The sequence below is a fragment of the Homo sapiens genome, chromosome 1 (genome assembly GCF_000001405.40).
Source record: "Homo sapiens chromosome 1, GRCh38.p14 Primary Assembly".
Classification (NCBI taxonomy): Eukaryota; Metazoa; Chordata; class Mammalia; order Primates; family Hominidae; genus Homo; species Homo sapiens.
The window spans coordinates 171,751,211-171,778,092 of NC_000001.11; the positions used below are offsets into that span (position 1 = coordinate 171,751,211).

Here is a 26,882-nt window from a genome sequence, read left to right on the forward strand (position 1 = left end):
AGGTGCGTGCCACCATGTCCAGCTAATTTTTTGTATTTTTAGTAGAGATGGGGTTTCACCATGTTAGCTAGGATGGTCTCGATCTCTTGACCTTGTGATCCACCCGCCTCGGCCTCCCAAAGTAGTGGCATTACAGACGTGAGCCACCGCACGCAGCCTTCTTTCCTTTTCTCTTAGAAATGAACATGCTTTAACATTTACTTATGAGTCATGGCTCACATGTATAGCAAGAAAGGGTTTGGTGAACAGGGAAATTCTCAGAATAGGATGAACACAAAAAGGACCATAATGATGAAGTACAGGCAGCACACTCCATCTCAGAACAGTCACCAGCCACCAAGGAATTCCCTGATCATCTGAATGGGACTGAAAACAATCCAGTGATTCCCCAGAGGCTCCTGCTCATTGACTCTTTTCCAGTAGATGACACGCAGAAAAATAGCTAAAAATGGAGGCCCAAAGTAACTAGCCATTGACTCTGCGTAATGGAAGAGTGACCCATTTGGAGATATCTGTACCAATGAAACCCAAACAATGTGGTTCAGAGTTATGAGGATGGTAACCTTTAGGCCTAGGTGCCCAGTCTATCCCACTCAATGTAGGAACTGTGAAGCAGAGGGGATTCCATGTGAAGGGGAGAATAGCAGTTTCTCTCTTGGCCAATTGGGAAGGCTGTACAAATCAGGGCTGATCATCCCTGGCCTCCCCCTGAGAAACATGGGCAGCAGCTTCAGGTGGCCACAGAGAATGCAGGCAGCCTTCTTAAAATACTTCTCCATGCTTGATAGGAAGTGCCGGGCAATAACACAGTACCAAAATTACTTCATCCTGTCTTTTCTGCATGTAAATTGATTTGTTCCCCTGTACTGTTCTAAGGAGCCCAGCACAGGCAATACAGCACACCTACTCAGCTACAGATTTCCAGTTTTTGTTTCTGCTTATAATAGTTTTGGTATTTTCCTGCAAAGTTCTAAAAATACACTTAAAACTTTTCCTTTGGGACTCGCAATTTCAAAAAAATAAAATTTTTGGTTCATTACAAAATCATTTTACTTGCCTGTGCTACCCAACTCTTATTTCTCATTATTATTTTCCTTTTGTCTAGTGGTTACGTTTGTAACTTTTAAAGTGCTTTCTCAAGCTCTATTTCTGGGTCTATCATGTTTATGTATCTATGTACTTAATATTCACAAGGTCCCATAACAATTGGAATCCTTACGTGTTTTTTACACAACCCACTCCCAAATTCTGTCAACTGTAACTTTTTTTTTCTTTTTTTTTTTGAGATGGAGTCTTGCTCTCTCATCCAGGCTGGAGTGCAGTGGCGTGATCTTGGCTCACTGCAACCTTTGCCTCCCGGGTTCAAGTGATTCTCCTGCCTCAGCCTCCCAAGTAGCTGGGACTACAGGTGCATGCCACCACTCCCGGCTAATTTTTGTACTTTTTAATAGAGATGAGGTTTTGCCACGCTGGTCAGGCTGGTCTCAAACTCTTCACCTCAGGTGATCCACCTGCCTTGGGCTCCCAAAGTGCTGGGATTACAGGCATGAGCCATCACACCTAGCCAACTCTAACATTGTTTTTAAATGGCTAATTTTCATAGAGTTTAAATGGTTCTCTGTAATTGTAATTAAGTTGTCCATACTTTGTTTCTATATTGATTTAATAGAATTTTTGCTATTAAGATTGTGTAAATTTCTTTCTCCATAGATCCAAGACATACATGTGAGTGACCACAGTGAATAAAAATCACATCTGGGAAGTTCCAAGGTAATATTTTTGGGTATCATTTTTTAAAATAAATACTATTTTTTTTTTTTTTTTGAGACAGGGTTTCTTTCTGTTGCCCAGGTTAAGTGCAGTGGTGCAATCATGACTCACTGCAGCCTCAACCTCCTGCACTCAAGTGATCCTGCCACCTTGGCCTCCCAAAGTGCTGGGATTACAGGTGTGAGCCACCATGCCTGGCCAAGTATCATTTTTTAATGTTTATAATCTCTTATATTCTCAAAGTAATGTTCATCGTAATTAACTTTATACTTAGCCCTTGTTTTATTGCACAGATTTATTTTTTTTTAGAATTTGTAATTGCCTTTTAAAATTTGTTGTTGATATAACTAACATACAATTTCTTTTTGAAATTTTTAAAACTTTTTTCTCTTAAAAAATTTTTTTTGTATTTTCTTTTATTTTTTTCTTTTTCTTCAGGGTAACAGTTATTAATAACATACAATTTCACCTTCTCACTAACATTGCTAATAATAGGTTCTAAAGTTTCTTAATCATCGCATTTCTTCTACTAAATCCACTTTTATTTTTTAAAAAGGGAAAGCACTCTTTCAGGGCTTCTTGAAATTCTTTTGTAACTTGAATCAGGTACTATTTATTTCTGCTAAAAATCTGTCATGATATTTCTCTTTACTGGACCGCTGGACTAGGTCCATAATGGTATTCATGACCTTCTCTAAAATAACTACTGCTACTTTAAGTCAGTTTCTAAAGTTCACAGATCATAGTGTATTTTTTTAAGATCATTGGGAATTATTTATTTCCAGAATTCATGATTGCAGACATTGTGTGGTCAGCAAATGGTCACAAAGGAAGTACACTGTATATATTCGACCTGGAAGGAAAAACACCGATAAGACAGTGAATTCTTTGGCTTCCTCATCCAGGCCATGCATGTCAGTGCTTCTGTCCCCTTGTTGGTCAGTAGCTCAGTGTCTAGGCAGATGAAGTTCTTAGAAGGGTGCTGGTCAGCCAGAGATCACAGATATGCAAAAGTTGGCTTTAAAAAAAATTCAGTGTCCCATAATTGGATTCTCCACTGCTGCAAACTGTGTGCCACTATGCTATTTGCCTATGCCTGTCCTAGGCTGCTCTTCTAAATTTCCTTTGTCAGTGGCTCTAAGTCTCTGTCCCACCAACACGGGGCTTCCTTGATTTGTGAGTGGAATTTGCAAGTGTAAATGTGTCCTGTACTGTTTGTTCCTGAGGCATGGTTTCAAGTAAAATGGCATTTTACAGCCTGCATTAATGGGAAATTACTTTCTATTAGAATTCTGAATAATGTGCACATAATGTTTATAAAGTGAAGGAAAGATGTCAAGCATTTCATTAACAAATGAAAGCAAAGCTCACGAGACTCTGCCAGAAGTGAATTCCAAGAATACTTTCTTCATCATTTCTCCTTTCAGCTCACAAATCTGTAGGTTGGTGATTCAGCCTGGGCAGCTCTTCAGGTCTCAGCTAGGCTCACTCACGGGACTGGGGAACAGCTGGCTATCAGCTGGTGCCTCCTAGGTCTGGAGGTTGGCTGGGGTGACTTAGTTCTGCTCCAAATGTCTCCCTCCAGCAGGCTAGCCCTGGCATGTTCTCACAGTGAAGGCAGAGCTTCCACTGGAGTACGTGTCTCCGGGTACTCTTTTTCCCCAAGCTCCCAACATAGGCTTCTTTAGCGTGTTCCCAAGTCCACTTCACAATTTCTCCACAAGATTCCAGTCATTTTACATGAAGTAGAGAGACAGTCTTGCAGACCCTCTTCTTGGCCATAGGCAGTCACCAGAGTAAGGAAGGGAAGAGGCGAGGAAGGCAACAGGGCCAACTCCTCTTGGTAAAGCACAAACAGTAACTGGAAAGTACCAACCACAGAGAAGGCAGGAGAGCAACTTCAGGGTGAACATCCCAGGCTCTAGAGAAAAGCAGATGCTGATTCCAGTCCTAGCTTCTCCACTCACCATGGGCGTTATTTATTCCGCAGCCTCAGATTCCTTGGCGGTGAAATGGGATAATGCTACTAACTACTGCCTTAAGGCAGTAGTAGTTTGTGAAGATCAAATACAAACATGGTGCTTGGCACAGCAGCTGTTGCAAGTGAACTCAAGGAAATGATGGTTATACTAGGACTTAGGTGGGGGAATACTATGGGCTTTAAAAGGAATCCCTAGCCTGTGGCTTACACTGCTGGCATTAGGCCAAGGACAGAGATAAACATTTCCCCTGACTTCTTTTCACTTTCAGAAGTCCACAGGCAACTTGCCCCAGTCTCCTGTCCCCAACACCACTACCCCACCTCAAATCCTGGACCTGGGCACTATATTATACCCACAGCTGTGGAGCTCTTAGTTCCCCAGGCTGGTTCATACAAGGGGGAACCAGGGACTCGGCCAAGAGGTACCCCTGCTAGGTCAAACGTCTGTGGCCCCTGGGCAGTGAGTGCTCTGGAGTCCACTGGTCCCTGCCTGGGGCTTGTGCTGGGAGGCAGAGGTGTCAATGATCCCAGCTATTGGCCTGGCGGCCAGCCTGGGGCAAGGAGCGTTCCAGCCAAGTGTCACCATCACCATTGTTCTGAGAGGCCTGGGCCGGCCCCACAGATGGCCTCTTAGCTCCTCTCCTGGTGCCCTGGGCTCAGGCAGAGAGCATGGTGCCCAAGCACATAGCCTCATAGTGAATTAATGAAACAGCAACAAAGCAGATAAATTGTCCCACTGGTCCTTTACATAGGTTCTTTCCAACAGCTTTGGAGAGTGACGGTGTCTCCTCATCTTCATCAGCACAAGATGTCATTCACATTGAACAGTTTTGACAGTAGGTACAACAGGAATGGGTTTAGTGAACAGAGGGATTCCCAGGCTAGCCAGGATGGATAAAAGAATGAAAGAGACAAAAATGGTAAAGCTCAGATAGTGCACTCCACTTATTTATTTAGGACAGTCACCAAACATCAAGCAGTTCTCTGTTCTATAGGTAAACTCTGTGATCCTATGAATAAGGCTGACCACAAGTTCAGTGAGACCCTGGAGCCCACTGTTGATTGACTCTTTTACAGTAGATGGCAAGGAGGACTGTAATCTATAATTAGAGTCTCAAGGTAATGAACAATTTATTCTATGTAACAGAAGAGTGGCCCATTTGGAGATATCTGTACTAATGGGACCCATATGATGCAATGAGAGTTATCAGGATGAGAAATAACTTTCTAGCTGTAAGGAGCTCCATCTCTCTTTCTCTCATTCTGATGTCTGCTCAGGGACCTTGGTGTAGAGGTTCACACTGAAGAGAGTGCTGGTGATGTGAAGGTGGTCAGGGAGCAGGAGAGTCCTCCTTATCACTTATCCTCTTCAGAATCCACTTACTTTCCCCTGAAGTTGATGATATATTGCCAGCATCTTCTTTTCAGATCTGTAGAATGTGCAGAATGAGGTCACTGTGCACATGGTCCTTAGGGGAAGCTGAAGCATCATCCTCATCACTGCTGAGATTCTCCAGAAACCACTCAAGATTACATGAAGTTGACGTATGGGAACCATCTTCTTCCTTATCCATTGATTTGCCAGATGTTATGCTGAGATCTTTCAGGAGCAGCTGAAGAGTCTTCATCCTTATAGCTACCTTCATAAATGATGTCCAGAGGAGAATTGTATTCCATGTTCTTGAGGCTGTCTTGGTCTTCCATGGAACCCTCTCCAATGCCCTGTAATAAGGAAGCTGCTTCAGAATGTCCTCAACAGAAAGATTTTCATTTGCTTTTCAGTCCACGCTGACCACAGATGAGGCCTCCTTCTCTGACCTGTCACTTGGAAAATCCCCTACCAGGTCTTCAGCAGAAGCTTCAATGAATTGCTCCCCAGTGTGTACTCTGTTATGTGGCCAGATTGTTTTGACCCGCTGCTTGGGGCAGGCAGCATATCTTCTGGACCACTGAAGATATGTTTCTCCCAGATGCGACTATCTGTGGCTAGTGTCACAGGGAGTAGAGGAATTTACCAAGACAGTTGTAGGTAAAGAAAGGCAGGTTTGTTAAAGAAAGTATGAAAATGTGTTGCAAGATTGCAATGGGCAGCACAGCAGAGAAGGGGCTGTCTGCAAAGAGGCAGAGGTGGAAGGGAAGTTTTATAGGGTCGTACTGGATGGGGTTATGTGCAGAACGAGGTCATTGTGTGGAATGAGGTCATCTCTCAGAACAATTATTTATTATTCTTCCCCACCTGGAGCCCTTCCCCACCTGAGGCCCCTTCCTCATTTTTGCTTACTTATCAGGAATCCACATTCCCCCATGACAGAATAGCAATGACAAATCTTTGGCATTAGGGTAGAGGTCTCATCTCCAACTGCTTCCTGCTGACCAGGGGCATAGAGTTGACCCAACCTATGGTTTTGGTCTGTCAGGAGACCCTGTGAGCCATTGTCCTGGGCTGTAGGACCTAGGATATTGGATCATGCTGAAGGAAAGCATTCATCGGAGAAGGGGAGCATGTCTAGGCAAAACTGGCCTCCAGCTGAGTGGGAGACTCCTAAAGGTAGCAGGTATCATTGAGGAGATACCAATATCCTGTTCATAGCACCATTTGAAGGTGAAACTACTGAATTCTAGAAGATAAAATTTTGTTTCTTGAGCCAGTTACCAAAAAGGCAAAGAAAACCCTTCTGTAGTATGACTGTTTTTCCTTATTGGAAGCCCATTTAGATAACTTGGAAGTTGCACTTGATGAAAAAGTGTTTGAATTTAATTTGACACAGCATAGGGAGCCAATTTTAGAAAGACTATTATATCTTAATTACATATAGTGTTCCTTTTATGAATTTCACAAATTTTCTCATGATTTACACAGACCATCTATGATGTGCCCAGACTTTCTGACTTGTCCTAAACATCCCTCATTCTTAAACAAGCAGTCATTTTACTTTAGGACAAGAATTTATGGTACAAAATCCTTTCTCGTGCAAAATCTTCATAACCTTCATTACCAAAAATACCTCTTTACCTTTATAACTTTCTTTATGTTTCTCTTATTTCCTGGTTCCTTTTATCTTGTTTTATATATAACCATTATCCTTTGAATTAGACAAAAGTCATTTTCCTTTTTTTAGGAGTTTATGGTTTATACTATGTGTTGCTGTGTGAGTTCTGTGGAAGGGAAGCAAATGAGGAGGTTATTTATATATTGTAGAAGTTGTTCCATCAAGAGATTACTCAGTTAGCTTTCTTGCTAGGGCATGTCTGAATAAGTATGGGCTATTTTAAACCCCTGAGATAAGACTATCTAGGTTGAAGTTATTTGTTAAAGATTTAGGTAGCTTTCCCAGGAGAAATGGGGCTACTAGAAGGAAAGGTGAATTCAGAGGCTGGGCAAATATTAAGCAGGCACACATCTTGGAAAGTATGTTTTTGCCCCAAAGGAGTGTGGGGTATTTAGATATTACCAGGGCATGGAGGGAAAATGGTAACTGATCCCTTACATAGTATAAAGGGGTGTGACTTTTTCTTTTGGAGGGAGAGGGTGCCGCTTGTTCCCATTACCCAACAGGATTTGGAGGAGAGTTGTTTAGAGAAGGAGATTAGTACAGAGTCACTATAAGTCATTTAGCCAAAATGATAAGTCCAAAATTTTTAAAAGGCAAAAATCTTTACTCGCTGATAGAGGGGAGACTTAGCTTTCAAAACAGGCTGCAATAAAGACAGCATGAGGACAACTGAATCTGTCTCCTTTTTCTTCCCTCCTTTTTCTGTCATTCATTTAAAAGGAAAACAAAATTCTTTCATTTTTGTTTATATTACATGAAAATCTTGTCTAAAAGAGAAAGCCAAATTGCATCTTTGTACTAGTTTTCTATTAATGTTAAATCCAATTCTTAGCAAAACCTTATAAACAAATCTGTCCAATCTTTATTAGCTTGACCATAGGGTAAGATTTCCATAAACCTCTTATAACCCTTTATCGTTTTCTGTTAAACAGCAGATTAATTATCTAAGAAAACTATTATCTGGACACACGGGCCCAGATTCTGGACCTGCATTAGTGTGCTTTTATTTCAATTTTCAACCTATGGGAAAACTGAATAATTCCCTTCAAATCTTAGCCAGCTTTTTTATACCCACAGACCTTTTTACAAGATCAGCCCTCCACAACTTACTATCTAACTTGCTTAAACCTTCAGTTTTATTCCATTACTCCTGTAGGTTAGGCCAATCCTTAAAACCTCTGAGCAAGACAAAATTACATTCCCTTTAACAAAAGCCATATTTCCATGCCTTCTTTTTTTTTTTTTTTTTTTTTGATGGAGTCGCTCTCTGTCGCCCAGGCTGGAATGCAGCGGCGCAATCTCGGCTCACTGCAAGCTCTGCCTTCAGGCTTCACGCCATTCTCCTGCCTCAGCCTCCCAAGTAGCTGGGACTACAGGCGCCTGCCACCACGCCTGGCTAATTTTTTGTATTTTTAGTAGAGACGGGGTTTCGCCATGTTAACCAGAATGGTCTAGATCTCCTGACCTCGTGATCCACCCACCTCGGCATCCCAAAGTGCTGGGATTACAGGTGTGAGCCACCATGCCCGGCCTATTTCCATGCCTCCTTATAACCTCCCACCAAAAACATATTCTACTTTCCTTCTATACTTTTCATGTAAACTGTTTCTCCAGCAGTCTCAAGTACATGTTACAATGTTAACTCTCAGCAACTTTTATTTTTGGTGAAAAACCTGATGAGTAATTTTTTTTTTTTTTTTTTTGAGACGGAGTCTAGCTCTGTCATCCAGGCTGGAGTGCGATGGCACAATCTCGGCTCACTGCAACCTCCACCTCCTTGGTCCAAGCAATTCTCCTGCCTAGGCCCCCAAAGTAGCTGGGATTACAGGTGCCCGCCACCACGCCCAGTTAATTTTTGTATTTTTAGTAGAGACAGGGTTTCACTGTGTTAACCAGGCTGGTCTCAAACTCCTAACCTCGTGATCCCCCTACCTCAGCCTCCCAAAGTGCTGGGATTACAAGCATGAGCCACGGTGCCTGGCCCTCATGAGTAATTTTAACCATGTATAAGATTGCAGAACTCAGGACAAGCTGCAGATAATGTCTGACTCTTTCCAGACTAGCCAGGGGACCAGGCTAACACCATATGTCCCCAGGCCTTACCTAGAATCTAATGGCTATAAAACAAACAAGTCAATTATTAAAAGTCATAGAAGCAGTTTATGGCCTTAAAGCATCTGACAAACAGTATCTGACTGCCTAATTTAGTTTAAGTGTGTGAACTTTGAAGACATCTTTTATTTACCTTACCAATAATCTTTAAACTGGCTTTTTAAAAGAGTCGTATTAGAGTCACGTGACCTAAAAGGCATTAAATTTTTATTTTTCTGACAATATGTTTAAGTGCTTATTTTTCTTTAAGCCAATTAGAATTCTTTTATATAAACACATAAAAATACACAGACAGAAATGGAGAATTAAGACAAAATTCTATCAACTGAGAAGTTTTTAGAGCAAAAGCAGGGGCTTTAAAAACCAATATCTGTACACATGCAGACCAAATATAAGCTTTAAGTTGATTTCTAACTATTACCAGATTTCAGTCAGGACAAATGGCTAGTATTTCTGGCTTTTGAATCTTTTACTAAAGGTAATTTATAACATGATATTAGTAAGCCTTAACTAAGAAGAAGCCTTTTTTTTTTTTTTTTTTGAGACGGAGTGTCGCTCTGTCGCCCAGGCTGGAGTGCAGTGGCGCTATCTGGGCTCACTGCAACCTCCGCCTCCCAGGTTCACGCCATTCTCCTGCCTTAGCCTCCCCAGCAGCTGGGACTACAGGCGCCCGCCACCGCGCCCGGCTAAATTTTTTTGTATTTTTAGTAGAGACGGGGTTTCATCGTGGTCTCGATCTCCTGACCTCTTGATCCGCCCGCCTCGGCCTCCCAAAGTGCTGGGATTACAGGCGTGAGCCACCGCGCCCGGCGCAGAAGAAGACTTAAACACAGACACATGAGCTGTCTCCAAAGAGACGGTCAGTGATTTACAAGATCTAGAATTGCCCCAAAGGTAATTCAGAGAAAAGAAAATTTCAAGACAGGAAATCAGAAGCTGTTCATGGAGGGGAAAAGAATCAATAAAGGGCAAAAATACCACAAGTATTAAACCACAAAGGACTCACATTGAAAGACAAGAATTGAACGCATTGTGAGAGGGCAAAGCCTTAGCCACTTATCTACAGCACAAGGTGACTGCTGTTTTTTCCAGAAGGAGTTTAAAGCATTTTCAAGCTTGCAAAGGATTTTAACTGCTCAAGATAACTTTCTGAGACTAGCCATGTTGTTGTTATGCATCCTTCTTTTAATTTAACCTTTTTCTTTTATTGGTCTACCCAGTTCCAATAGTGACCCAATCTAAAAGGCTGTTAACATCCAGATAGTAATTTTCCAGGTTTTTACCATATAAGCAAAAGGTTATTTCCAGAAAGGGGTAGAGGAGGTGTCTCCATGACAGACAGCTTTTGAACTCAAAAGGGAAATTTATAATTTTACTTGCTGCCTCCAGAGTTGCCCTTGGCTTTGTTTTATTGATAATGATGTTTGATTTGGAAGCCAGCTGGAGCAGAGACCCCTACCCCAGCAGAAGGCCATCAGGGGTGTCTGATGGGATTCTGTCCTGGGGGCCCTTCAGCCCTTAGGGCAGTCCCATTTCCAGTGGCCAAGCTTGTGGCCGAGGGGGCAAACTGTGTAAGGCTTTTCCCCATTTGTCCCATTGGGACAGTTTGCCTTTCAGTGGCCTGGCCTTCTGCACTGATGGCAGTTACCTGGAGGATATTCTGAGGGCAACCCAGACTGGGCTGGGGGCTCATAAAGCAGCCAGCAGTTGAGCCTGCCTTTTCTCCTTGTGTTTTCTGTGTTTTTCTTTCCCGTTAGCCCTGTCCTTTTTATTCTGCTCTCAGTTATAAAAGACTGAGGAGGCTAATTTGAGAATTTCCTGCAAAGGGGCCATGCTGTTAATATATGACACAAGAAAATTAGATGTGCCCTATTTTTTCTGCACCTCTGAGCTTACTGTCTGTCTGGCTTTTTTAAGTTTTAATTTCCAGGACTTGAACTCGCTGCCATGTCCACTAAAGAAGGAAAGATCTTCGTGGGAGGGCTCAACATTAACACCGACGAGCAGGTGCTGGAAGACGACTTCAGCAGCTTCGGGCCTGTCTCTGAGGTGGTCATTGTCAAGGAGACTCAGTGGTCCAGGGGTTTTGGTTTCATCACCATCACCAACCCAGACGCCATGAGAGCCATGAACAGAGAGTCCCTGGATGGTCACCAGATCCGCGTGGATCATGCAGGCAAGTCTGCTGGGGAACCAGAGGAGGTGACTTTGGGGCCCATGGGCGTGGTCACAGCTACTCTAGAGGTGGTGGGAACCAGGACTATGGGAGTGGCAGGTATGACAGTTGACCTGGAGGGTATAGATATGGATATGGACAGTCCAGAGACTATAATGTCAGAAGCCAGGGTAGTTATGACTGCTACTCAGAAGGAAATTACAGAAGCAATTATGACAACTGAAATGTGACATGTGCACATAATATACACAAGGAATAGCTCTTCTGATCCAGGATTGTCCTTCCAAATGGCTGTATTTATAAAGGTTTTTGGAGCTGTACTGAAACATCTTATTTTATAGTATATCAACCTCTTGTTTTTAAATTGAGCTCCCAAGGTAGCTAGTTAAAGATCTTTTAGACAGCTCCATCTTTGTTTAAAATTTTTTCTCCTATTTAAAGACAAATTATGGAACATTTGTAGGGTCGGAGTATTTTTCTTTTTGCCAGTTTTTTAGTTTGAGCTGTCAGGATTATTGGATCTAGCAATAATTGGTTCTGACATTTGACCAGACTGGTTTTTGAAAATTAGTGTGTATCCAGGGACATTTAAAAAACCTGTACACAGTGTTTATTGTGGTTAGGAAGCAATTTCCAAATATACCTAGAAGAAATCTGCATCAAGAACATGATTATCTAGGGGTTTTCTCTAATTCAGATAACCAAACTGATTATATAGAAGAGCCGCTTTAAAATGTTTGCAAATGTCTTTTTGTAATACTGGAAGAAAAAATATTGTTTTGTCTCATATAGTGCTTAGGATGTCCTTCACAGAGCTTATTAAAAAGTTGAAACCAGAAAAAAAAATTAGGTGTTTCTTTTTGAGAGTCTGAGAGTTAAATTTGTCTTAATGTTTTAGGATGTAGCCCAGAGGTGAGTCTGAATAAATAGATGGGGTTTGTCCATGTTGGAACTGGAAAACAATGAGCCACTGGAGGGTAATGTCTGCTGGGGACACGAACCACACTTTCTTTAGGGGCATCCTGCTGAGGAAAAGGGTTCCACTTACATTGCAGAGGGATACAAGTACACTTTCTAAAGGGGCATCCCACCCCCATTAGAAAGGACCTTTCAGCGCTGGCACCTTATGCTGGGTGATCAGCCCAGGCATGAGGAAAAAGGGTAAAGAGAGAAAGACAGCCTGCTGCCAGCCCTGGAGAAGGAACAGGAATGGGGACACTCACTGCTCTGAGGCCACTTGAGATCACCTGATTTGGGAACATCCAGAGCAGGATGTCTGGCTGTCTTCATGGGAGAATTTAGAATTTAGAGTGAGAAAGAGGGAGTCTGAGTTCCCCAAAACATGTGTGCCAATTGTGCCACACAAAGGGATTGGGGACTTTTAACCAGAAAGGATAGGAGAGGGTCTTCCTCCCTTCTGGGTAAGGCAGCCAAAGTCTTTCACCCTCTGGCCTTCAGGCTACACCAAGGTGTGGGCCTGGCCAGTTGTGATCAATTGCCAGAGGGATGCTAGAGTTTGTCTGCTGGAAGGCAGGAAAGGAAAGCAAACTCTGAACTCTTACCTGATCAGGCAGTGGTGGTCAGACATCTTTTCACAGGGACTTTCTGGTCTGCCGAGGAGTGGCCCCGGCTGGGGACCTTCAGCTGTCTCGGTGCTTGGATGCTGTCACCAAGAGGTCAGAGTTGGAGGACAGGAAAGGGAGTGAGTAGGGGAAGAGGTCCCCGAACAGTCCCTGTACGGGCCACCAAAACATCACAGGTGTGACTATCTGGGGCTGGGCTGGTGTCGCAGGTGGTAAAGGAATTTACCAAGATAGTTGTAGGTAAAGAAAGGCAGATTTATTAGAGAAAATATGAAAATACATTGCAAGATTGCAACAGGTAGCACAGCAGAGAAGGGCTGTCTGCAAAAAGGCAGGGGCTGGAGGGAAGTTTTATAGGGTTGTGCTAGAGGGGGCTGCACATAGAGGTCATCTCTCAGAACAGTTGTTCATTGTTCTTCCCCACCTGGGGCCCTTCCCCACCCGAGGCCCCTTCCTCATTGTTGCTTACTTATCAGGACTCCACAACATTTTCATATTCTTGAGGCAAGATTCTGTCCATGAAGAGAGGAAAGGATAAAGAAAATGCAGTATATATACATAATGGAATGCTCTTCAGCCTTAAAAATTCATGAAATCATGTCATTACAGCAACATGTATGGACGAGGTAGGAAAAATGCCCCAGAGAATCCACACCAAAGTTTCCTCCTCAGCATCTGCGCCCACAGACAGGAGCTGTTTCTTCCCCGGGATGTTGCCCCAGGTCCTCCTGAAGCTGCCATGGTGCTCCCTCAGGAGGGTCCTGAAGGAACTGGAGCTCTTCTCCTCCTCACAGGCTGAATAGTATTTCTTTGTGTATAAGTACTACATTTTCTTTATCCATTCATCTGTTGATGGACACTTAGGTTGCTTCTATACGCTGTTGTGAATAATGCTGCTTGTGAATAATGCTGCAATAAACATGGGAGCACAGATGTCTCTTGCACATACTGATTTCATTTCATTTGGATATATACCCAGTAGTGGATTTGTGGCAACATGGATGAACCTGGAGGACACTATGCTAAGTGGAATAAGCCAGATACAGAAAGACAAACATGATTTCAATCATGTATGGAATCTAAAAAAGTTTATCTCACAGAAGTAGAGAATAGAATAGTGGTTACCAGAGGCTGAGGAGGGGAAAGGGAATGGGGGCATAGGAAGCAATTAGTCAAAAAGTACAAAGTGACAGTTAGAAGGAGTAAGTTCTGGTGTTCTAGTCACAGTAGGGTGACCATGGTTAACAATATTGTATATTTCAAAAAAGCTAGAAGAGAGAATTTTGAATGTTCTCACCACAAAGAAATGATAAATGTGGCCGGGCGCGGCGGCTCACGGCTGTAATCCCAGCCCTTTGGGAGGCTAAAGTGGGCAGATCACTTGAGGTCAGGAGTTCAAGACCAGCCTGGCCAACATGGTGAAACCCCATCTCTACTAAAAATACAAAAATTAGTAGTGGTGGTGGGCACCTGTAATCCCAGCTACTTGGGAGGCTGAGGCATGATCATCACATGAACCTGGAGGCAGCAGTTGCAGTGAGCTGAGATGGGGCCACTGCACTCCAGCATGGGCAACAGAGTGACACTCCATCTCAAAAAAAAAGAAAAAGAGAAAAGAAAGAAAGAAATGATAAATGAGGTGATGGGTATGCTAATATCCTGATTTGATTTGTTGATTTTTACACAACGTATACATTTATCGAAACATCACACTGTGCCCCATAAATATGTAAAATTATTATGTGTCAATTAAAAACATTTTAAAATGTCTGCCCTTTATTTTTTAAATTATATATAATACATATATATATAAAGCTATAACATATATATATTTCAACACCTTTTGGGATACAAGTGGTTTTCTGTTATATGGATGAATTATATAGTGGTGAAATCTGAGGTTTTAGTGCACCTGTCACCAGAGTAGTATACATTGTACTCAATACGTAGTTTTTTTATTCCTCACTCCCCTTCCACTTTCCCTGCTTTTGAGTCTCCGATGTCCATTATACCACTCTGTAGGCCTTTGCGTACCCATAGCTTAGTTCCCACTTATAAGTGAGAATATACTGCCCTTTTCTTTACATGTACTTTCTTTGGAGAGATTGTTGGAATTCTCAGAGCAAGAGAATCCTCAGCTTCAGTTATCATCTCTATGAAGAGGAATCTAAGAAAGAGTGTATGTAAGGAAAAAGGCAAAAGCTAGAGGAATGTCTGTATTTAGCAGTGGGAAGATGAAGAGCAGTCAATGGGAAATGGTCAGAGTGGTAGAGAGAAAAACAATGAAGATAAGGCAGTATAAAAGAAGATGAAGAAAGAGTAGTCATTGCATCAAAAACTTCAGAGAAACCGGGAAGGGTGAGAACAAAGACTAGAAAAAGCTATTAGATTTGTTGACTCACATGCTTTTATTTTTCTTCACGAAGTATTTCAGTAACATTATGGAAGCAAAAGCCATATTATAAAAGTTTATTTGTTAGTGAAATTACAGATTACAGATTCCTTTTCCAAGAAATTTAATTGTAAGGGAAAAGACACAGTACATTGCAGCTTGAAGTGGTACTGGGGGCAGGTACCATCAGAAATACATCAGAAATAACCAACTTATATTTACTAATGGAGAAGAAGAGGCCACTGGGAGAGTAGGATTGAAAATGCAAATTGAGGAAGAAATAATGGTGGGGTGATACCCTGCAAATGTGGGACAATCAGTGTTTGAGACTATAGGAGATGAGTTCTAGCAAGATGATTAGAGGATCCTTTCTTGGGGAAAAGAGGGAAGGAAGTAAAAGAGATTTTGAAAATAGAGAAGTTAAGAAAACTCCTAAGGTAGCTTCAAAATATTCAGTAAAAAAGGCAAGCAAGGCCGGGCATGGTGGCTCACGCCTGTAATCCCAGCACTTTGGGAGGCTAAGGAGGGTGGGTCACCTGAGTTCAAGAGTTCCAGGCCAGCCTGGCCAACATGGCAAAACCCCGTCTCTACTAAAAATATAAAATTAGCTGGGTGTGGTGGCAGGCGCCTGTAATCCCAGCTACTCAGGAGGCTGAGGCAGGAGAATTGCTTGAACCAGGGAGGCAGAGATTGCAGTGAGCCAAGATTGCACCATTGCACTCCAGCCTGGGAGACAGAGCAAGACTCCATCTGAAAAAAAAAAAAAAAAAAAAAAAAAAGGCAAGCAAGGTCAAGAGTCAAAGGAGCAGTGTTGAAGTTGGGAGCTTTAAGAAAAAGGAGTTTTGAAACAGTTATCTTAGCAGATAAATATGCATGGTAAATGGTAAACAAGCGGCTGAGCAGCTATGAAGATCCAGGCTAGAACAGTGATTTTTAACTACTCCTTTAAATCAAGGACTGTCTTAGACCGTTTTTTGTCCTGTATGATACTTTGTATCGAACAAGCACACACTAAATATTGTTGAATTGATGCTAATTTTTTAAAGTTTGCTTTTGAATGAGAGGAAAAGACAAGAGAAAAAAAGAAAACAAGGAAAGTGAAAGCAGGAGAGTGTTTCAGCTTTCCCAGGGCATGGGAATCTCAGAAGCACTTTGCTTGTTTAATGACCTTTACCAAGTCACCTTTTCAATACTGGCTTCATTTCCCAGGCAAAACAGGGGAAATAATCTCTGCCTCCTTATTGTCTTCCAAGAATATCATAAGCTCTTAGTAAAATAATATTTGCATACTCTTGGTTGCCTTATAGACAAGAAAATATTTAGTTTCCTCATTTTTATAGATTTGCTTCTCTTCTCTAGGCTGTTTATTATTATAGATTGGTTAGCAAAAGTTTGGCCTGTTGACATTGATTTCTAGACAATAGAAGGGGAAATAAGAATATGAGCAATGAAAATTTGTGACAAAAATAAAACAGAAAAATGAAAGGAGAGGATGTTTGTTACTTTCAACCTACCAGTCAATATCATTGTCTTTAAATATCTCTTGGAATTTCATGCAATTATTCTACCTCATCAGTACACTTGAAGTTGCATTTTAATTTCATGATCAATTTCCAGGAGACAGTTTCTCTTTGTATTTTACTCATAAAGTATAAATAAGCAAAATGATTCTTTTTAAAAGTTAACCAAACAATAGCTTTCTAAATATCATCCATGGCTTGCCAAGTCACCTGTCCAAGTTTCCCTATGCTGAGGTAGATCACATGTGTATTTTTGATCATTAATAAGAAGCCACCCCTTTTCTCCTCAGCCAAGGCTAGAGGCCAAGATCAGCCCTCAGGGATCATCATCAGGACTGCCATGAGCTGAGCTGCCTTGTTTTCCTGCCGCAAACATGTGAAAAGAAAGAAAAAAGAAATAATAATAATAATAATAATAATAATAACAATAATAAGGCAGTTTTCCTTCTGGCTCTGGGTTTGTTGTTATTTTGTGTAAGACCAATCCCTCCCCACTTTTAAAGGGAATTATTTAACCAAAAAACTCCCTAGCATCTTTTCTGTGACTCTGAATTCATAATATTGGTTATAATGTATGCTTTAATGTTAGGCAGGTCCAAGTCTGAAGTATCGATTATAAAATTAACTGTAGGAAATCTGGCCGCAGCCCCAGTGATAGTCACTGTATTAGTTTGTTCTCACATTGCTATGAGGAACTACCTGAGACTGGGTAATTTATAAATAAAAGAAGTTTAATTGACTCATGGTTCCACAGGCTGTACAGAAAGCATGGCCGGGAGGCCTCAGGAAACTTACAATAATGGCACAAGGGCAAAGGGGAAGCAAACATGTCTTCAGGAGGAAAAGAGTGAAGCAGGGAGTGCCACACACTTTTAAACCATCGGATCTTGTGAGAACTCACTGCCATGAGAATAGCAAGAGGAAAATCTGCTCTCAAGATCCAGTCACCTCCCACCAGGTCCCTCCCCCAACACTGGGAATTACAGTTCAACATGGGATTTGGAAGGGACACAGAGCCAAACGGTATCAGCCACCCTTATGCAATAATTTTAAAGGAAGCTTTTTGGCAATTGCTGTGCCATCATTTTTTCCCTAATCCTTTATAAATAGAGCAATAGCTAATTGTCCAACTATTTTTTAAAATGTCATGATAGAAAATTTTAAAATGTACTTGGGTTTAGAATCATTTTGACATTTTTTCTGTGGGGGGCGGGGAGACTGGATCTTACTCCATACCCAGGTTGGAGTACAGTGGCGTGATCATGGCTCACTGCAGCCTTGGACCCCTGGGCTCAAGGCATCCTCTCATCTCAGCCTCCTGAGCAGCTGGGACCACAGGCATGTGCTTCTTGAAGAATTGCTCTTGACAAAGAACTTTGTTTTGGTACCTACTAACTGCAATGTAGTACTAGGAGGATACTCTTGAATATACATGTCAGAGTTTACATTTTTAAAGTTTTCTTTTTTAAAATGGGTGCACAAGTTTTTTGAGTCTGCATTAGATTTCAGGGTTCCGGCCTGACACAGGGTTCCAGAGATGCAGCTGAAACATGTGCTGAGTCAGCGTCAGCATCCATGTGCATAACGACATTTCCCCATCTGCTCTGTGGTTGCTGTTGCCATATGCCCTTGATTTTCCTGGCTCCTCTTAATTTCAGTTATTGTAAATTTTTTTGGTTCCATAACTTATGTTAAAAATAGATTCTAATTCTCTGGTGAATTTCTATATCTTTTTGTCTATTTTCTTGAACATTTTAGTCAGTCCTTGTTTGCTAATCTAATACACTGATTACCTGTGGGTTACTTTCTATTGTCTATTTTTTCTCGGCTTTTGATCATATGACTCTGTCTTTTAGCATAATAAGTTTGGATATTTCTTCAGTATTAAATACTGAGTATAAAATATTGAGTATAAAATAATTCAGCATTAGTTTGAGTATTCAGCATTGCAGTTTCCCTTTATTAGAGTTGAGAATGTTTTTATGTTCTCAATTTTTACTCTTTTATAAGCAGAGGAGATTCTACATCCTCTGCTGACATTCATTTGAAGCATTAAAACAAAATCCATGAAAAGTTGGTCTCAGTCATAGTTATGCTTCACTGAGTTAAAACGACATCACAAATCACAGAGGCTCCATTATATTTCCTTGCCTTAGGTGCTATAGTCACAAGTGGTATATGAGTAGTTATTTAGAAGGAATGGAATGATGTCAGCAAAATACCTTAAACAGATACATTTCAGACTTTCTTCACATGGTGAAAAATTGAAGAGAAACAACAAGTCTTTTGCTCACAAGATTTTTAAAAAAACATAGTTTCCCTAAGAACCAAACTGGCCTTTCTAATTTATTCTTTACATGATTACAGAGTCAAGGTAGAACACAAAGTATGAGAATATAAATTCTTATGATCATGAGGAATCATTCATGGATCTTCTATTGTGTGAGAGGAATTGTGTAATGTGATGGGTCCTCAGATATCTTGTTGTTTTTTTTGTTGTTTTGAAATGGAGTCTTGTTCTGTCGCCCAGGCTGGAGTGCAGTGGCGTGATCTTGACTCACTGCAATCTCTGCCTCCCAGGTTCAAGCGATTCTATTGCCTCAGTCTCTCAAGTACCTGGGACTACAGGCATGAACCATCATACTTGGCTAATTTTTATATTTTGAGTAGAGATGGGGTTTCACTATGTTGGCCTGGCTGGTCTCAAACTCCTGATCTCAAGTGATCTGCCTGCCTCAGCCTCCCAAAGTGTTGGAATTACAGGCGTGAGCCACCATGCCCAGCCAGGTCATCAGGTTATTTAAGGGTATATGTCTACTGTCTGAACCCTGAAGCCTGGGTGGTGAGCCACGGCTATGGTGCCCAGCCAAGAAGCAGGTATCCCTGAGAACCTACCAAGAAAAAGTCTCATTGCTCAAATGCAGGAGGCAAAGAGCCAGAAAATTAGCTTAGAAGGAGCTTAAAGACAGGTGGTAGTTGTGAATCTCTAGAGCTCTCCTGCAGCCATTCAGGAGTGCCCTGCATGTAAGTCCTAATAAACTCATCTACTTGTCGAGTTGGACGTCCGAGTCATTCTTTGTTCTCTCGGCACCTTCCTAATTTGAATGGGGAGCAGGGTGGCAGGGCTTATAGTCCCAAGTTTTTCTCATAACAGGCTCTGTGCATAATTAACATATAAATGTACCAAGAACCCTTTTGGCAATCTGGTGAAATTAATGGACCACTTAGAATGTTTCCAGATATATCAAAATAAAATACACAGAATTACAGAGTAATCCCATGATATTGAAATAATGTTATCACATATTTTAAAGGTAAAATTTGTGAAATATTAATATCTATGCTTTTTAACTTATTAAATAACAAAATCTAATGGCAGGCCTAATGTTTGTCATAATTTTGAATTAGTAATGAGCATAAACTATTTCAAGACAGTTATGTTTGTAAGGTAGGACAATCTTAGTGATTTGTATTGGTAACAAAATCGCAGGTACAGCTAGTACTACTGAGGATTTCGATTTTTTGAGGAGGGCAACATTTATAATAAAAGAAATACTGACTTTCTGTTAGAAGTGAATGGAAATAAAGATGTCATTTGTTCCCCATCCAAGTTCACAGACCTTCTGAATTCTCTCCATGATTCCTCAAGGCTCCCTAGGTTTGGAACTCCTACTTTAAGTATTTCATCCTTTTCCACAAGGTGTGGACAACTTTGAGAATACTGGGAAGTTCTCAGCAAAGAACAATGACTTCTGCACCTGTAGGGCCCAGGCATGAAAGATCTTACTTGCTGGCAGGGTTGCACTTCCTGACTAGAATGCAGGTGTTCTGCTTGCTAGTCTGCATATAGCCCTGCTTGCCCAGTACCCTTGCACCATTCCTGAGAACCTTGGGGTTGGATTGACATTTAAAAATCATCTGGTACAATCAACATATCCTTCCCCGAAAAAAATGGTTGAGTTTTTGCCATGAGGCAGGCCCTGAGCTATACATGTTACCGCACCTGACTGTCACAGCAACTCCATGAGGTAGATGTTATTCTTCCCAGTTTACATAGACTCATTTGTTCATTCAGAAAGAAAAATATGTTTTATCTATTGTGTATCCATTACTAAGGTAGGTGTGTGGTTTAAAATTCAGACATAGGCCAGTCACGATGGCTGACGCCTGTAATCTTAGCACTTTGAGAGTCTGATTTGGGCAGATCGCTTGAGCCCAAGAGTTTGAGACCAGTGTGGGCAACATGGTGAAACTCCATCTTTCCAAAACAAACAAACAAAAAAAAACCCTAAAGACACAAAAATTAGCCAGGCATGGTGGCATGCGTCTGTAGTCCTGGCTACTCAGGAGGCTGCAGCAGAAGGATCACTGGAGCCTGGGAGGTCAAGGCTACAAGAAAGGTGAGACCACGCCACTGCACTCCAGCCTCGCTGATAGAGTGAGAGCCTATTTCAATAATAATAATAATAATAATAATAATAATAATAATAATAATGATAAAGAATAAAATATAGACATAGCTGCTGTCCTAATAGACTTCATATTCTAGTAGGACAGACAAAAATATATAAATTATATAATTACAAATTGTGATAAGTCTTTTAAAAAGAACAAACAAGCTGTTGAGACTGAGATTCATGGGGGACCTATTTAAAAGAATAGGATTGTCAAGGGAGATATCTCTGAGGAAGTAACATTTACGCTGAAACTAGAAGTATGAAAAGAAACCAATCATGCAAAAAGCAAGAGTGTCCCAGGCAGAAAGGACAGCAAGAGCAAAGCCTGTTAGGCAGGAAAGAGTTTGGTATTTTAAAAAAATGTATTATTTTAAAAAGTGTGGTAAAAAACATCACAAACAATTTACCATCTTAAGCCGGGCTCAGTGGTACACACCTGTAATCCCAGCACTTTGGGAGGCAGAGGAGAGATGATCGCTTGAGGCCAGGAGTTGAAGACTAGCCTGGCCAACATGGTGAAACCCAGTCTCTACCAAAACAATACAAAAAATTAGCTGGGCGTGGTGGCACACCCCTGTAGTCCCAGCTACTTGGGAGGCCGAAGCATAAGAATTACTTCAACCCAGGAGGTGAAGGTTTCAGTGAGCCAAGATTGCACCACTGCACTCCAGCCTGGGCGACAGAGTGAGACTCCATCTCAAACAAAACAAAACAAAAAAAACAATTTACCATCTTAACCATTTCTAAGTGTACAGTTCAGTGGTGTTAACTACATTCACATTGTTGTGCAATAGATGTCTAGAACTTCCTTGTCTTACAATTCTGAAATCTATACCTATTGAAAAACAACTCCTCATTCCTGGCCCCCAAGCCCTTGGCAACTACAATTCTACTTTCTGCTTCTATCATTTGACTACTTTAGATACCTCATGTAAGTGGAATCTTTCAGTATTTATCTTTTCTGTGACTGGTTTATGTCACTTAGCATAATGTCCTCAAGGTTTATCCATATTGTATCATGTGACTGGATTTCTCTCTTTTTTAAGCAGAATAATATTCCACTGCACGTATATACCACATTGTTTATCCATTCATCTGTCAATGGACATTTGGGTTGCTTCTAGCTCTTGGCTATTGTGAATAATGCTGCAATGAACATGGGTATGTGAATATCTTTTCAAGAGTCTGCTTTAAATTATTTTGAATATATACCCAGTGGTGGGTTTGCCAGATCATGTGGTAATTCTCTTTTTAAATTTTGAGGAACTTCCATACTGTTTTCCACAGTAACTGCATTATTTTATATTCCTACCAATAGTTCACAGGGTTCCAGTTTCTCCACATCCTCAATACTTGTTTTCTGTTTTTTTTTTTTTGATGGCCATTCTAATGGGTGTGAGATGCTATCTCATTTTTTTTAATTTGCATTTCTTTAATGATTAGTGATGTTGAACACCTTTTCATATGCTGTTGGCTATTTGTATATCTTCTTTGGAGAAATGTCAAGTCCTTTGCCCTTTATAAAAATTTGCTGTTGTTGTTGTTGTTGCTTGTGTTTGTGTATTCTAGATATTAACAACTTATCAGATATATGATTTGTAAGTATTTTCTTCCATCCCATAGGTTGCCTTTTCACTCTGCTGATTGTTTCCTTTGATGCACAGGAGATTTTAAGTTTAATGTAGTCCCATTTGTCTATTTTTGCTTTTGTTACCTATACTTTTGGTGTCGTAGCCAAAAAGTCATTACCAAATCTAATGTTTTGAAGCTTTCCCCCTAAGTTTTCCTCTAGAAGCTTCACAGTGTTATCGTTTTTAGTTAGTTTTTGTATATGGTGTAGGGTAAGGGTCCAACTTCATTCTTTTGCATGCAGATATCCAGTTTTCCCAACACCAAGGGAATTGGCATTTTTGAGAAGGAAGGGGCAGGTTAGTGTGTCTGGAGCTTGGTGAACAAGGAGAATGATAGAAGATAAAGTTGGATCATGAAAGGGTATGCTAAGATTCTAGATTTCTTTCTCAATGCATTGGGAAGCTACCGGAGAGTGACATGGACAGATTTATACTTTTAAATGATCATTGTGTTCCTCAAAAAGTTAAACATAGAATTACCATGTGATCCAGCAGTTCTACTCCTATATATTCTAAATAACTAAAAACACACTTTTCACACAAATTCTTGTACATTAATGTTCATAGCAAGACTACTCATAATAGCCAAATAGTGGAAACAACCCAAACTCCCTCTATGGATAAATAGATATACCACATTTATCTACACAATGGAATATTATCAGTCATAAAATGGAATATATATATACTGTTGTATGCTATGACAAAGATGAACCTTGAAAACATTATACTAAGTAGAAGAAGTCAGACACAAAAGACCACATAATATATAATTCTGTTCATGCGAAACATCCAGAATAGGCACATCTATTAAAGACAGAAAATAGGTAAGCAGTTTCAACAGGAAGGAGGGGAAAATAGGACTAATTGCTAAGAGGTAGGGATGATGGAAATGTTCTGGAATTAGACAGTGGTAATGATTGCACAGCATTGTGAATGTACTAGAAAACACAAAAGTGCATACTTTTTTATTTTTTATGTTTTGAGACAGGGTCTCACTCTGTCACCCAGGCTGGAGTGTAGCGGTACAATCACAGCTCACTGCAGTTTTGAGCCACTCCCACCCCCAACCCTGCCAGCCCCAGGCTCTGGTGATTCTCCCACCTCAACTTCCCAAGTAGCTGGGATCATATGCATACACCATCATGCCCTGCTAATTTTTAAATTGTTTTGTAGAGACAGGGTCTCCCTATGTTACCCAGGCTGGTTTTGAACTCCTGGCTTCAAGTAATCCTCCTGCTTCAGCCTCCCAAAGATCTGGGATTACAGGTGTGAGCCACCATGCCTGCCCAGTGTACACTTTTAGATGGTGAATTTTATGTGAAGCATATCTCAGTTCAAAAAATCTTATTAAAAAAAAATCAGCCCAGCATGGTAGCTCATGTCTAGATCATTCTGATTCCAAATCCCAACCTTAACTTCTGTGCTATATAGTTTCTAGCTAAGGGTTCCCTCTTCTGTCAGCTGTCTTCAGAAATATACCATATTCTCTGAGGACATTTCTCTTTTGAGTCTTCAAACACCAGAGCTTACATGATGAACTGTTTAAAATTTTTTAAAAATTAAAAAAATGAAAAACATCAGAGCTGCTGCTTGGATGAAATTTTGACACGTGGAAATTTTTTTTCTACTGTATGTCAGCAGTGAGGATGAAGATATACTATTCAAAGATGAGATGAATTAAGAACAGTAAAATGTTTTGGCACCATAATTTGTGATTCTTCTTAGGAAAAGGTCATTCGTGCAGCCCCATGGCAAGAAAACAGTTTTAGTTTTAGAGAAGTATTACATACTATAACTTTTTTGTTGGACTAAAGGGAGTTTTGTTTTTCTGGTTTCTTTGAGGACTCTGGATCTGAACGTTAAAAAATCCTCTGGGTGGAGTACTCAAGTGAATTTTATTTATTAAATGCTGTTTTAAAATCCATTCCCTTAGTGGTAGAAAAATATTGTTATGGGCTGAGGACAGAGAGCATCTATAAAAATGGGATACATGAGATGGTCATGGGTTAGAGTGCTAGAGTGTAGGAGAAAAACAAAATGTTTTTCAAGTTTTTCTTTTCCTGCAAAGAAACTGAAGTTTGGAATAAAATTATGAAGAAAACAGTCTAATAGCTTACCCTTGTGGTTTTTCCCAGTATCCAGGCTGTAGAAAACAAAGACAGTCAAAAGGAGGCTTTGTGAGCCCCCTCATATAGGGGTCAAATGTATTCATGCACAGCCTGTTAACCTTGGCATCATTCCTTCATCTCCCCAGTCTTGCAGCTTTCAAAATGTTATTGCCTACTGGCCCCAAAGGCAAACAACTTGCAATGTATAATATGCCCTATATTAATGCCTTGCAGTCCATGCATATGAGGAAACCAATCCATCAACAGACGCCCTTAGTGACAGAGTAGGAAACTACTGCACAAAGAAAATCCTGGGAATCAAATACAATACCAGAGGCAGTCACGGCTCAATTCGCTCAGTCATATATAACTTTTTTTTTTCACTTACTTGTAATCAATTGGAATTTTGCCTTAATTATATATGTATAGGTATATATATTTAAGAAAGCAGTGTGTAATCATCTATGTTGAAACGAATTTGTTAATCTTGTACAAGGCTGGCACATTCACCCAAAGGGATTCTCTGCCAATGTGAAAATTAACTCTGTAGCTCTGAGCCTCTCCTTCCCATGGATTCAGTGTATGAGAAAAATTCTTGGCCAATCACAAGTGCTATACAAACTAAAAAATACTATGATGCACTGGGCATGGTGGCTTACACCTGTAATCCTACCGCTTTGAGAGACTGAGGTGGGAGGATCCCTTGAAGTCAGCAGTTTGAGACCAGCCTGGGCAACATAGGGAGAGCCTGTCTCTACAAAAATATATATTTTTTTAAATTAGCCAGGCATGGAGGCTCGTACCTGTAGTCCCAGCTACTTGGGAGACTGAGGTGGAAGGATCACTTGAGCCCATGAAGTCGAGGCTGCAGTAAGCTGTGACTGCACCACTGCACTCCAGCCTGGGTGACACAGTGAGACCCTGTCTTATATAAACAAACAAACAAACAAATAAATAAATAAATAAGTAGCTATTATCATCATCCCAATCTTAGGAATCCAATATCAGCTTGATAGTCACTTTTCAGGTCAACAATATCGTCAAGAAAAGTGTTGACACTCAGCTAATAAAATGGCAGAATGTTACCCTAGGATGTTATTGTGTCTGCCTTCTATTATCCCAAGATACAGGAGAACATTCATTTTTAAACTTCTCAAATGTGGAAAACAAACCCATTTGCTAAGATGATTTCCAATTTGAAATAGTTTCCAGCATTATATGAGCCACTCCCTGTACACCAAAGAGACATTCCCTTTACTTAATTTTATATCCCACTCGTGAAACATTTTCATGTGTTGGACCTACCAACTCCAACTGGATACCACTGACAGGAAGTGAGAAGGGTATGAGCCCTGGGGTAGGCATGCAGGGTGGGGAGACTGGCTTTTAGCTCTGGCTCTGGTTTTTACTGGAGTGATAACCTCTAAATTCTTTTCTAGCAACAGTTCTACAAATAATACCCCTTTCTCCTTCCCCGTTTCTTTCTACAGACTATTTCTTCAGTCATCCAGAGGCCGATGTAGGAGTCATTTATGAGTCCCTCAGTCTTTTATTCCCCCTATTCAATCAGTCATCAAGTGCCTCAGTCTTTCCTGAGAACATCTCTCAGATCAGGTCTTTCTGTCATGACTCTGCTTCTCTGTTGACTTCCTGTGGCCTGACAGGCTGAAGCTAAATATGTGGAATAGAAGACTCCTCAAAACCTGCCCTTTACCTCAGCCTCTAGTTGTATCTTCTGCTGCTTTCTCCCCACTGTGACCTTCTGCCCCAACCACACATACTCTCTCTCTCTCTTTCTCTCTTCTGTTTATGTTCCGTATTAGTTTCCTATCACTACTGTAACAAATTACCAAAAACTAGTACTATATGCAATACAAATTTATTATCTTACAGTTGGATCAGTCAGAAGTCTGACAAGTCTCAATAAATTAAAATCAAGGTGTCAATAGGGCCGTATTTCTTCTGGAGGCTCTACAGGAGAATTCATTTCTTTTCCTTTTCCAGGTTCTAGAGGTCACCGCCTTTCCTTGGTTCATGGCTGCTTTCCTTCATCTTCAAAGCCAGAAACATTGGGCCAAGCCCTTCTGTCTCTCCCT

General features: G+C 40.8%; 4 pseudogenes; 2 read left to right on the forward strand and 2 right to left on the reverse strand.

Moving 5' to 3' along the window:
• On the reverse strand, positions 226-818 carry LOC100422548 (solute carrier family 5 member 4 pseudogene; annotated as a pseudogene).
• LOC100422549 (solute carrier family 5 member 4 pseudogene) lies at positions 4,593-5,213 on the reverse strand (annotated as a pseudogene).
• LOC391136 (RNA binding motif protein 3 pseudogene) lies at positions 10,784-11,937 on the forward strand (annotated as a pseudogene).
• Positions 16,860-16,965, forward strand: LOC124900454 (uncharacterized; annotated as a pseudogene).
• Positions 16,966-26,882: the final 9,917 nt, after the last annotated feature.